At 39.2% G+C, this 13,916-nt stretch overlaps 2 annotated features.

Moving 5' to 3' along the window:
• Positions 283-783: an enhancer, noted in NCBI's record as "H3K4me1 hESC enhancer chr18:75003007-75003507 (GRCh37/hg19 assembly coordinates)". NCBI's record gives its function as "activates a minimal SCP1, AML or CMV promoter by ChIP-STARR-seq in primed H9 embryonic stem cells {active_cell/tissue: H9 hESC(primed)}" and the evidence as "EXISTENCE:reporter gene assay evidence [ECO:0000049][PMID:30033119]".
• Positions 784-1,284: an enhancer, noted in NCBI's record as "H3K4me1 hESC enhancer chr18:75002506-75003006 (GRCh37/hg19 assembly coordinates)". NCBI's record gives its function as "activates a minimal SCP1, AML or CMV promoter by ChIP-STARR-seq in primed H9 embryonic stem cells {active_cell/tissue: H9 hESC(primed)}" and the evidence as "EXISTENCE:reporter gene assay evidence [ECO:0000049][PMID:30033119]".

The following is a 13,916-nucleotide window of genomic DNA, read 5'->3' as shown; positions in this document are numbered from 1 at the left end:
CACACCACTGTATGCACATCCCACAATTTTCTTATCCATTTATCAGTTAATGGACATTTGGGTTGCTTCCACTTTTTAGCTAACATGAACAATGCTGCCATGAGCATTCCTGTTCAAGTTCTTGTAAGATCATATGTTTTCATTTCTCTTGATATATACACATAAGTGGGATTTCTAGGGTGTATGGTCAGTCTATGTTTAGCATTTTGAGGAACTGCCAGATTAGTTTCTCTAGCAGGTGTATCATTTTAAATTCCCACCAGCAGTATATGAAGGTCCCAATATCTCCACATTCCGAACAACATTTACTTTCCTTTTCCATTTAAATTATAGTGATCTGCTGGGTGTGAAGTGGTATCTCCTTGCGGCGTTGATGTGCATTTCACTGATGACTAACGATGGTGCATATCTTTTTATGTGCTTGTTTATATTGTATATCTTCTTTGGAAATATGTTTATCTAATTTTTTAACTACTTTTTAATAATAGTTTGGTTCTCATTGTTGAGTTGTAAAACTCTTTTATATAGTCTGGATTCAAGTCCTTATCCTAACCAAGGGGAGCCATGACAGATGGTACCTGGAAAAACAGGACGCTCCCACCCAAATACTGCGCTTTTCCAATGGCCTTAGCAAATGGCACACCAGATTATATCCCGCGCCTGGCTTGGTGGGTCCCACACCCATGGACTCTTGCTCACTGCTAGCGCAGCAGTCTGAGATTGACCTGCTAGGCAGCAGCCTGGCAGGGGGAGGGGCGTCCACCACTGCTGAGGCTTGAGGAGGAAAACAAAGCAGCCAGGGAAGCTCTAACTGGGCGGAGCCCACCACAGCTCAGCAAAGCCTGCTGCCTCTGTAGACTCCACCTCTTGGGGCAGGGCATAGCTGAACAAAAGGCAGCAGAAACTTCTGCAGACGTAAATGTCCCTGTCTGACAGCTCTGAAGAGAGCAGTGGTTCTCCCAGCATGGTGTTTGAGCTTGGAGAACAGACAGACTGCCTCATCAAATGGGTCCCTGACCCCCATGTAGCCTAACTGGTAGATGCCTTCCATTAGGAGCCAACTGACACCTCATAGAGTTGGGTGCCCCTCTGGGATGAAGCTTCCAGAGAAAGGATCAGGCAGCAATATTTGCTGTTCTGTAATATTTGCAGCCTCTGCTGGTGATACCCAGGCAAACAGGGTCTGGACTGGACCTCCAGCAAACTCCAACAGACCCACAGCTGAGGGACCTGACTGTTAAAAAAGAAAGCTAACAAACAGAAAGGAATAGCATCAACAACAACAAAAAGGACATCCACACCAAAACCCCATCTGTAGGTCACCAACATCGAAGACCAAAGGTAGATAAAACCACAAAAGTGGGGAGAAACCAGAGCAGAAAAGCTGAAAATTATGAAAACCAGAGCATCACTTCTCCTCCAGAGGATCACAGCTCCTCGCCAGCAACAGAACAAAGCTGGATGGAGAAAGATTTGATAAGTTGACAGAAGTAGGCTTCAGAAGGTCGGTAATGACAAACTTCTCCGAGCTAAAGGAGAATGTTTGAACCCATCGCAAGGATTAAAAACCTTGAAAAAAGATTAGATGAATGGCTAACTAGAATAAACAGTGTAGAGAAGACCTTAAATGACCTGATGGAGCTGAAAACCATGGCACGAGAACTACATGACACATGCACAAGCTTCATTAGCCAATTTGATCAAGTGTAAGAAAGGGTATCAGTGATTGAAGATCAAATGAATGAAATAAAGCAAGAAGAGAAGTTGAGAGAAAAAACAGTAAAAAGAAATGAGCAAAGCCTCCAAGAAATATGGGACTATGTAAAAACACCAAATCTAGGTTTGATTGGTGTACATGAAAGTGATGGGGAGAATGGAACCAAGTTGGAAAACACTCTTCAGGATATTATCCAGGAGAATTTCCTCAACCTAGCAAGACAGGCCAACATTCAAATTCAGGAAATACAGAGAAAACCACAAAGATACTCCTCGAGAAGAGCAACCCCGAGACATATAATTGTCAGATTCACTAAGGTTGAAATGAAGGAAAAAATGTTAAGGGCAGCCAGAGAGAAAGGTCGGGTTACCCACAAAGGGAAGCCCAACAGACTAACAGCGGTTATCTTGGCAGAAACTCTACAAGCCAGAAGAGAGTGGGGGCCAATATTCAACATTCTTAAAGAAAAGAATTTTCAGTCCAGAATTTCATATCCAGCCAAACTAAACTTCATAAGTGAAGGAGAAATAAAATCTTCTACAGACAAGCAAATGCTGAGAGATTTTGTCACCAACAGGCCTGCCTCACAAGAGCTCCTGAAGGAAGCACTAAACATGGAAAGGAGCAACCGGTAACAGCCACTGCAAAAACATGCCAAATTGTAAAGATCATCAACACTAGGAAGAAACTGCATCAACTAATGGGCAAAATAACCAGCTAACATCATAATGACAGGATCAAATTCACACATAACAATATTAACCTTAAATATAAATGGGTTAAATGCACCAATTAAAAGACACAGACTGGCAAACTGGATAAAGAGTCAAGACCCATCAGTGTGCTGTATTCAGGAGACCCATCTCATGTGCAGAGACACAAATAGGATCAAAATAAAGGGACGGAGGAAGATCTACCAAGCAAATGGAAAGCAAAAAAAAGCAGGGGTTGCAATCCTAGTCTCTGATAAAACAGACTTTAAACCAACAAAGATCAAAAGAGACACAAAAGGCCATTACATAATGGTAAAGGGATCAATTCAACAAGAAGAGCTAACTATCTTAAATATATATGCACCCAATACAAGAGCACCCAGATTCATAAAGCAAGTCCTTAGAGACCTATGAAGAGACTTAGACTCCCACACAATAATAATGGAAGATTTTAACACCCCACTGTCAATATTAGACAGATCAACGAGACAGAAGGTTAACAAGGATATCCAGGACTTGAACTCAGCTCTACACCAAGCAGACCTAATAGACATCTACGGAACTCTCCTCCCCACATCAACAGAACATACATTCTTCTCAGCACCACATCGCACTTATTCCAAAATTTACCACATAGTTGGAAGCAAAGCACTCCCCAGCAAATGTAAAAGATCAGAAATCACAACAAACTGTATCTCAGACCACAGTGCAATCAAATTAGAACTCAGGATTAAGAAACTCACTCAAAACCACCCAACTGCATGGAAACTTAACAACCTGCTCCTAAATGACTACTGGGTAAATAACGAAATGAAGGCAGAAATAAAGATGTTCTTTGAAACCAATGAGAACAAAGACACAATGTACCAGAATCTCTGGGACACATTTTAAGCAGTGTGTAGAGGGAAGTTTACAGCACTAAATGCCCACAAGAGAAAGCAGGAAAGATCTAAAATCAACACCCTAACATTACAATTAAAAGAACTAGAGAAGCAAGAGCAAACAAACTCAAAAGCTAGCAAAAGGCAAAAAATAACTAAGATCAGAGCAGAACTGAAGGAGATAGAGACACAAAAACCCTTCAAAAAAATCAATGATTCCAGGAGGTGGTTTCTTGAAAAGATCCACAAAATATTCAGACCACTGGCAAGACTGCCAAAGAAGAAAAGGGAGAAGACTCAAATAGACCCAATAAAAAATGATGAAGGGGATATCACCACTGATCCCACAGAAATACAAACAACCATCAAAGAATACTATAAACACCTCTATGCAAATAAACTAGAAAATCTAGAAGAAATGGATAAATTCCTGGACACATACACCCTCCCAAGACTAAACCAGGAAGAAGTTGAATCTCTGAATAGACCAATAACAGGCTGTGAAATTGAAGCAATAATTAATATCCTATCAACCAAAAAAAGTCCAGGACCAGACGGATTCACAGCCGAATTCTACCAGAGGTACAAAGAGGAGCTGGTACCATTCCTTCTGAAACTATTTCAACCAACAGAAAAAGAGGGAATCCTCCCTAACTCATTTTATGAGGTCAACATCATCCTGATACCAAAGCCTGGCAGAGACACAACAAAAAAAGAGAATTTTAGAACAATATCCCTGGTTAACATTGATGCAAAAATCCTGAATAAAATACTGCAAACCAAATCCAGCAGCACATCAAAAAGCTTATCCACCACGATCAAGTCAGCTTCATCCCTGGGATGCAAGGCTGGTTCAACATATGCAAATCAATAAACATAATCCATCACATAAACAGAACCAATGACAAAAACCACAGGATTATCTCAATAGATGCAGAAAAGGCCTTCTACACAATTCAACAGCCCTTCATGCTAAAAACTCTCAATAAACTAGGTATTGATGGAACGTATCTCAAAATAATAAGAGCTATCTATGACAAACCCACAGCCAATATCATACAGAATGGGCAAAAACTGGAAGCATTCCCTTTGAAAACTGGCAAAAGACAGGGATGCCCTCTCTCACCACTCCTATTCAACATAGTGTTGGAAGTTCTGGACAGGGCAGTCAGGCAAGAGAAAGAAATAAAGAGTATTCAATTAGGAAAAGAAGAAGTCAAATTGTCCCTGTTTGCAGATGACATGATTGTATGTTTAGAAAACCCCATTGTCTCAGCCCAAAATCTCCTTAAGCTGATAAGCAACTTCAGCAAAGTCTCAGGATACAAAATCAAAGTGCAAAAATCACAACCATTCTTATACACCAATAACAGACAAACAGAGAGGCAAATCATGAGTGAACTCCTATTCACAATTGCTACAAAAAGAATAAAATACCTAGGAATCCAACTTACAAGGGATGTAAAGGACTTCTTCAATTAGAAATACAAACCACTGCTCAATGAAATAAAAGAGGAGACAAACAAATGGAAGAACATTCCATGCTCATGGATAGGAAGAATCAATATCATGAAAATGGCCATACTGCCTAAGGTAATTTGTAGATTCAATGCCATCCCCATCAAGCTACCAATGACTTTCTTCACAGAATTGGAACAAACTACTTTAAAGTTCATATGGAACCAAAAAAGAGGCTGCATTGCCAAGAGAAGCCTAAGCAAAAAGAACAAAGCTGGAGGTATCACACTACCTGACTTCAAACTATACTACAATGCTACAGTAACCAAAACAGCATGGTACTGATACCATAACAGATATGTAGACCAATGGAACAGAACAGAGGCCTCAGAAATAACACCACACATCTACAACCATCTGATCTTTGACAAACCTGACAAAAACAAGAAATGGGGAAAGGATGCCCTATTTAATGAATGGTGCTGGGAAAACTGGCTAGCCATATGTAGAAACCTGAAACTGCATCCCTTCTTTACACCTAATACAAAAATTAATTCAAGATGGATTAAAGACTTAACTGTTAGACCTAAAACCATAAAAACCCTAGGAGAAAACCTAGGCAGTACCATTCAGGACATAGACATGGGCAAGGACTTCACGAGTAAAACACCAAAAACAATGGCAACATAAGCCAAAATAGACAAATGGGATCTAATCAAACTAAAGAACTTCTGCACAGCAAAAGAAACTACCATCAGAGTGAACAGGCAACCTACAGAATGAGAGAAAATGTTTGCAATCTACCCATCTGACAAAGGGCTAATATCCAGAATCTACAAAGAACTTAAACAAAATTTACAAGAAAAAATCAAACAATCCCATCAAAAAGTGGGCAAAGGATATGAACAGATACTTCTCAAAAGAAGACATTTATGCAGCCAACAGACACATGAAAAAATGCTCATCATCACTGGTCATCAGAGAAATGCGAATCAAAACCACAATGAGATACCATCTCATCCCAGTTAGAACGGCAATCATTAAAAAGCCAGGAAACAACAGATGCTGGAGAGGATGTGGAGAAATAGGAATGGTTTTACACTGTTTGTGGGAGTGTAAACTAGTTCAACCATTGTGGAAGACAATGTGGTGATTTCTCAAGGATCTACAACTAGAAATACCATTTGACCCAGCGATCCCATTACTGGGTATATATCCAAAGGATTATAAATCATGCTACTTTAAAGACACATACACATGTATGTTTATTGCAGCACTATTCACAATAGCAAAGACTTGGAACCAACCCAAATGTCCATCACTGATAGACTGGATTAAGAAAATGTGGCACATATACACCACAGAATACTATGCAGCCATAAAAAAGAATGAGTTTATGTCCTTTGCAGGGACATGGATGCAGGTGGGAACCATCATTCTGAGCAAACTATTGCAAGGACAGAAAACCAAACACCACATGTTCTCACTCATAGGTGGGAATTGAACAATGAGAACACTTGGACACAGGGCGGGGAACATCACACACCGGGGTCTGTCGTGGGGTCGGGGGCAGGGGGAGGGATAGCATTAGGAGAAATACCTAATGTAAATGACAAGTTAATGGGTGCAGCAAACCAACATGGCACATGTATACCTATGTAACAAACCTGCACATTGTGCACGTGCACCCTAGAACTTAAAGTATAATAATTAAAAAAAAAAAAGAATTCTCAAGTGAAGCCATCTGCTCCTGGATTTCTCCTTGTGGGAAGTTTTTTTTATTATTATAACTAACCCAATCACTTTACTGTGTGTTATTTTATCGTCCTCTTTCCCTATAAGATCAGTAGTATTGTTCTTCCTTTCATCTTGATTTTAGTCATTTAATTCTTTTCTGTTTTTCTTGGTCAGTCTTGTTAAGGCTTTTTCAACCTTTTAAAGGTTTTCAAAGACTGACTTTTGGTTTCATTGATTTTTTGCTACTCTGTTTCTATTCTCTAGTTCATCTGTTTCCACTTTAATCTTTATTGCTTCTTTCTTTCTGCTAGCTTTGGATTTAGTTTGCTCTTTTTTATAGTGTCTTAAGGTTGAAGGTTATATTATTGATTTGAGATGTTTCTTCTTTTTCAGCATAGGTGTTTACAACTCTAACCTTCTCTCTGAGCCCTACTTCTGTTACTTTCATGATTTTTGGTATCTTTTTAACTCACCACCGTGGTTTCCTATTTACCTTTTGATTTCTTTTGGGATCCATTTGTTATTTAGGAGCATGTGTTCAATTTCAACATATTTGTGAATTTCCCAAGTTCCCTTCTGTTATTGATTCTAATTCCCTTCCACTGTTGTCAGATAATATATTTTGTATATCGTCAGTCCTTTGAAATCAAATTGGATGTGTTTGATGGTGTAATGTAGAATGTACTTAGAGAATGCTTCCTGTACACTTGAGAGCTGTTGCTGTGTAGAGAGCTCTATAGATACCTGTTAGGCATAGATGATGTACATCGTCGTCAAGTTTTCTTTCTCCTTGCTAATCTTCGATGTCTTCTATTCATTATTGAAAATGAGGTCTTCAGGTCTCCTACTACTGTTGAGGTATCTATTTCTGCCTTTGATTCTGTCCATTTTTGCTTCATGTATTTTGGGACTTTGTTGTTAAATGCAGACGTGCTTGTTTGTTTTCTTTTCTGAGACAGGGCCTCACTCTGTCACCCAGGCTGGAGTACAGTGGTACAATCTCAGCTCACTGCAACCTCTGCCTCCCCGGCTCAAGCATCCTCCCACTTCAGCTTCCCGAGTAGCTGGGATTACAGGCACGCACCACCACATCCGAATAATTTTTTGTATTTTTAGTAGAGACGGGGTTTCACCATGTTGCCCAGGCTAGTCTCAAACTTCTGAGCTCAAGCAATCCACCACCTTGGCCTCCAAAAGTGCTACAATTACAGGCATGAGCCACCACACCCAGCCTTATAATTGTTATATCTTGATGGGTTGACATTTTTATTATAAAAGTATTTCTTTGTCTTTATTAACAAGTTTTATATTAAAGCCTATTGTATCTGATATTAGCATGGCCAATCCAGCTCCATTTGGTTAAAAATATGTTTGTATGGCATATCTTGTTCCATCCTTTTACTCCCAGCCTATTTGTGTCTTTTATTCTACTGTGATTCTGTTGCAGACAGCACACAGTTGGAGCATTTTTTAATGCATTCTGCCAGTCTCTGCCTTTTAATTGAAGCGTTTCATCCCTTTAATGTAATTACTAGTAAAGCAAGATTTATATATGCCCTTTTCTCTATGTCTTACATCTTTTTTTCCGGTTCCTTCATCATTGCCTTCTTTTGTGTTGAATAGTTATTTCCTACTGTACCATTTTAAGCTTCTTGTCATTTCCTTTACTATGTATAGTCATTTTCCTAGTGGTTACTCTCACAATCACAATTACCATCTCAAATGAAACAATTCCCTTCCAAGTTAGTGCCAACTTAATTTTAATAGTATACAAAAACTTTTTTCCTATATAGCTTCATTCTTCTCCCCCATATGGTGTTATTTTCACATATTACATATCTATAAATAGTGTGCCAATCAACGTACATTTAAATTATTATATTATTCAGTTGTCTTTTTCATTGTAGAGGAAATAAAAGGTGTAATTACAAGCAAATGTACAAACATACACTCTTTCCTATATACTTACGTAGTTACCTTTTCTGGTGCTCTTTATTTCTTCATTTGGAATTGAGTTACTGTTTAATTTTCTGTCATTTCAGCCTGAAGGACTCCTTTTAGTATTTCTTGTGGGTTAGGTCTGCTGGCAGCAAACTATCTCAGCTTTCATTTATCTGGAAATGTGTTAATTTTTTTCTTTATATTTAAAGGCTAGTTTTGCAGGATGTAGAATTCTTGGTTAAGGCTGGGTGTGGTGGCTAACACCTGTAATCCCAGCACTTTGGGAGGCTGAGGCGAGCGGATCACAAGGTCAAGAGATCGAGACCATCCTGACCAACATGGTGAAACCCTGTCTCTACTAAAAATGCAAAAATTAGCTGGGTGTGGTGGCAGGCGCCTGTAGTGCCAGCTACTCAGGAGGCTTAGACAGGAGGATCACTTGAACCCAGGAGACGGACGTTGCAGTGAGCCGAGATCACGCCACTGCACTCCAGCCCGGTGACAGAGCAAGACTCCATCTCAAAGAAAGAAAAAAAAAAGAATTCTTGGTTAAGAGTTGGTTTCTTTCTTTCTTTCTTTCTTTCTTTCTTTCTTTCTTTCTTTCAGTACTCAGAATATGTCATCCCACTGACTTGTATCATTGTTTTGATGAGAAGTTAGCTATTAATCACACAATTGTGGCATAACAATTCACTTCTCTCTTGATGTTTTCAATAGCTTTCTCTTTGTCTTTCAACAGTTTAATTATCATATTGGCTGTTCTTGCATTACTAAAAAGAAATACCCAAGACTGGGAAATTTATAAAGAAAAGAGGTTTAGTTGGCTCATGGTTCTGCAGGCTTTACGGAAGTATGGTGCTGGCCTCTGCATGCCTTCTAGTGAAGCCTCAGGAAGCTTTCAACTATGGTGGAGGGTGAACGGGGAGTAGACACATCACCTGGCAAAAGCAGGAGCAAGCAAGAGTGAGTGGGCAGCGTGAAAGTGCCACACAGGTTTAAATGACCATATCTCACAAGAACTCACCATCATGAAGACAGCACCAAGCCATGAGGGAGCCACCCCCATCATCTAAACACTCCCACACTCCCATCCCCATGATGTAAACACTCCCACCAGGTCCACCTCCAGCCGTGGGGATTACAATTGAACATGAGATTCAGGTGGGGACAAATACCCAAACTACTTCAATTATGATGTATCTAGGCATGCGTCTCTTTGAAATTCTCCTATCTGGAGTTTGTTGAGCTTCTTGGATGTTAGATACATGTCTTTTATCAAATTTATAGAGTTTCAATGACCAAGGGCATAAAACATGTAACAATTCAGTCTTAAAACAGGGTCTATTAAAACAAAAACTACCACATAGAGTCTTTCAGGTAACTCTGCTACTCAGCGGGGGTTCCTCTTAATAAGGCTTCTGCCTGATCACTCATTTGCCCCTTGATATTTTTGTCAATTTGTCTTATCAACAATCTATCTTGTTTTATCAACAATCTATCTTGTTTTTTGTTTTTTGGTTTTTTTCCTGAGACAATTTCACTCCTGTTGCCCAGGCTGGAGTGCAATGGCGTGATCTCGGCTCACTGAAACCTCCGCCTCCCAGGTTCAAGTGATTCTCCTGCCTCAGCCTTCCAAGTAGCTGGGATTACAGGTGCATGCCACCACACCCAGATAATTTTTGTATTTTTAGTAGAGACGGGGTTTCACCATGTGGCCAGGCTGGTCTCAAACTCCTGACCTCAGGTGAACTGCCTGCTTTGGCCTCCCAAAGTGCTGGGATTACAGGCATGAGCCACCACGCCCGGCCTATCTTCTTTCTTAAAATTATATGCTTACATTCCTTTGGTGACAAGAAATATATATTATATTCATTTTTATTCCTGGCAATGCCTATCATGGTGAATTGCACACAGATGTTCAAAAAAAGTTTATTGATTGGCAAAATGAAAAAAAGGTTTCAACTTAAAGAAACTTTCATTTTGGGACCACAACTATTATTCATTAACGTAACATAATCTTCCTGAAATCATATTTATGAAATGCTTTCTTGTAAGAGACAATTTATGGTAACTTATACATTCAACATGAACCCTATCAGCATATTATTTTTTTGATTATTCAGATAATGCATTAAGATTTATGGATATTTACTTTACCAGTATTCTGTACCTACAGTGTAATCACCCTAGGTAGAAACAAATTTCTGAAATTTCATTTATTCCTTCCCCACCTATTATTTCTTAACAGACATTCATCATACACTTAATTTAGACTTCAGAGGATAGAATGCCATTTATATATATATATATATATATATATATATTAATACCTTTATTTGAAGTCTCTGCAAGCATTTTCTTCTCTCAGTTATTCCCAAAAGGTCAAATGTGTTTAATCACATTTTACAAAATAGAATGAAAGGCAATTAGCAGCTTTCAGTGTACCAATTTAAGTTTTTTAAATGACAGCTTTAAAACTTAATAATATACTCCTCAGGAAAGCTCTATGTACAAAAAATAATAACACCTGCATGAAATTATTTCATGAACACCATTTCTCAGGCCTGGTCCCCCAAACTTTAGAATCCCAGAACCTTAGAAGCTATCTCAATGGATACGTGCTACAACATCCCAGCCAAGGAAGAGTGCAAGGGACTAAGGGGGCTCCCAGAGCAGAGGACGCACCACCTTCAGAAACAGCCTGAATCCCCTTCTCAGATTCCTGTTGTTATAGTTATGAATGGTTTAAGAACAAGGAAAGGAACATTACTGCCTGCACCCACCAATATCTACCAATTATCTAAAAAGAGATTGCAGGTGTCAAGGGTCAGGAGACAGAGGCAGGGAATTCCTTCTCTACATCCCATCAACGTGTGGATGGGCTTCTTGGATGAGCATAGTGAGAGTTCTGAGTTCAACTAAACACAGGACGGATGAGCAGGTGAGTTGCAAGGGGCTGGAGGCAAAGCCATGGGAGTCAGGCCCTGATTATGAAGGAGGGCAACGGATCAGAAGAGCCCAGGGAAGTCCTCAAAGACACAGACGGTGGAGGGACTTTGTGCAAGGCCAAGAGAAGCCTGTCTGGTGAGAGGCCAGTGAGGTAAAAGGTGCGATGCTACGGAAAGGGGACGAGGAAGACACCTCGAGCTGCAACACACCCTCACGGGATGGATGCCCCAGCAACTACCTAACCCATCATATATCCCCGTGTTTATGCATTTACAAGAAAACCATCAGCCCTGGATTTTTTCCTGCAATATTAAGTAATATTTTATTCTATCATTAAATAGTACCTACACCTTGAGATGATGATATTGGAATATGCAGTTTTAAAATGGCTTCAACTGAAGATATAATATTCTCTTAACTGCTGAGTCTATGAATTCTTTAAATAAATATTTTTCACTTAAAAAAAACATAAATGACCCACTGATCTTATTTACACCATAATTGCAGTCATTTTTGTATTTGTTTTTAAAATTATCTTAACCACAGATGACAACACCAATGAACCAGAATATTTTCCCTTGTATGTAGAGAAAATCATATCAAGGCCGGGCGCGGTGGCTCACGCCTGTAATCCCAGCACTTTGGGAGGCCGAGGTGGGCGGATCACAAGATCAGGAGATTAAGATCATCTTGGCCAACATGGTGAAACCCCATCTCTACTAAAATACAAAAAAAATCAGCCAGGCATGGTGGCGCATGCCTGTAATCCCAGCTACTTGGGAGGCTGAGGCAGGGGAATCACTTGAACCCGGGAGGCAGAGGTTGCAGTGAGCTGAGATCGCGCCACTGCACTCCAGCCTGGCAACAGAGCAAGACTCCATCTCAAAAAGAAAAAACAAAAGAAAGAAAGAAAAGAAAATCATATCAAATGTGTGTAAGTATGCAGAAGGAAAATAGCTTCTTCTTACTAAATAAAATAATCAGCAAGCCAAAGTGGAAAGAAAAATTAGGCAACTCTCTGCAGCATTACAGATGTGGCTAGAGGAAGTCACTGTAAAGCAGACAATATTAAAAGTCATTACACTTGAAATCTATTGATTTTATCACAGTGTCTTTCAAAATTTTGATCACTACAGAAAGGAGATACTAGACTGGAACAATCTCAGGAACCAGATGTAATATTCTGTGGCCAAGTCCTTTATTTTAGGCTCACTGCCACCTCCACCTCCTGGGTTCAAGCAATTCTCCTGCCTCAGCCTCCCAAGTAGCTGGGATTACAGGCGCCCATCACCACACCCATCTAATTTTTCTATTTTTAGTAGAGACAGGGTTTCACCATGTTGCTCAGGCAGGTCTCGAACTCCTGACCTCATGATCTGACCACTTCAGCCTCCCAGAGTGCTGGGATTACAGGCGTGAGCCACCGCACCCGGCCAGGGGGATTTTCTATATAGATAATCATGTCCGCTGTAAATAGAGACAATTTAATCCCTCTTTTCTGCTCTATATGCCTTTTCCTTTTTTTCTTGCCTTATTGCAGTGACTACAACTTCCATACCACGTTAAATAAGAACAGATGTCCTTGCCTTTTTCCTTATCTAAGGGAAAAGCAGTCTGTCTTTCACTATTAAAACATGTTAGCTCTAGAGTTTTATTGTAGATGCTATTTATTAAATTGAGGATATTTTCCTCTATTCCTAGGTTACTGAGAATTTTTTTAATCATGAATGGTGCTGGATTTTGTCAAATGCTTCTTCTGTGTCAATTATGATAGTCCAATTTTCCTTTAGTAGGCTGCTAATATGGCAGATTACATAGATTGATTTTTCACTGTTGATCCAGCCTTGCATTCCTGGAATAAACCCTTCTCGGTAATGGTATATAATTCTTTTTAAACCTTTCTGGATATGATTTATCAACATTTTGTTGAAGATTTTGTGTTTATATCCACGAGAGATAGAGGTCTGTAGTTTTATTTTTCATTTTATTTTTCATCTTGTATTTATTGACATATACTAAAAGTACATTATTGTCATATGAAAGTCTGGGAATAATTTTATATTTGTAAAAGAATCCTTACATGAAAAAAGATTTGGAATTGCCAGACTAAATGGTCACTTTACCAGTCTAAATGTCCCTTTCATGTTTATGGAAATATAATTCTATTTATGAAGAATATTCAGGTATTAGAGAGTGATGAAAACACATTCTGGTGAAGGTATCAGGCATCAGTAACTCTAAAAATCTCAGCTCATCCAAGTGGAAAAAAGCTAGTTACCTAAAATGGGGGCATCAGTTTGCCTTCTGACTTTTTTCTAGTAACATTCAAAATTCTAAGCTGGGTCTAGAGATATCTTAATAAAAACATACTGCAATAAAATAATTTCATCTCACATTGTTTTTCAGGTATAAAGGCAACAAATTAATATTCTCAAATATGCAGTAACTAAAGAATACAGTGTCTTCAAGAACTTAATGGGAACAGAAAATTATTTCCATTTTGTTTGGGAAAAAAAGCAC

The sequence above is a fragment of the Homo sapiens genome, chromosome 18 (assembly GCF_000001405.40).
Source record: "Homo sapiens chromosome 18, GRCh38.p14 Primary Assembly".
NCBI classification, from domain to species: Eukaryota; Metazoa; Chordata; class Mammalia; order Primates; family Hominidae; genus Homo; species Homo sapiens.
The sequence above is the reverse complement of the archived record's forward strand: the minus strand, read 5'-3'. Positions and strand labels throughout refer to the sequence as shown.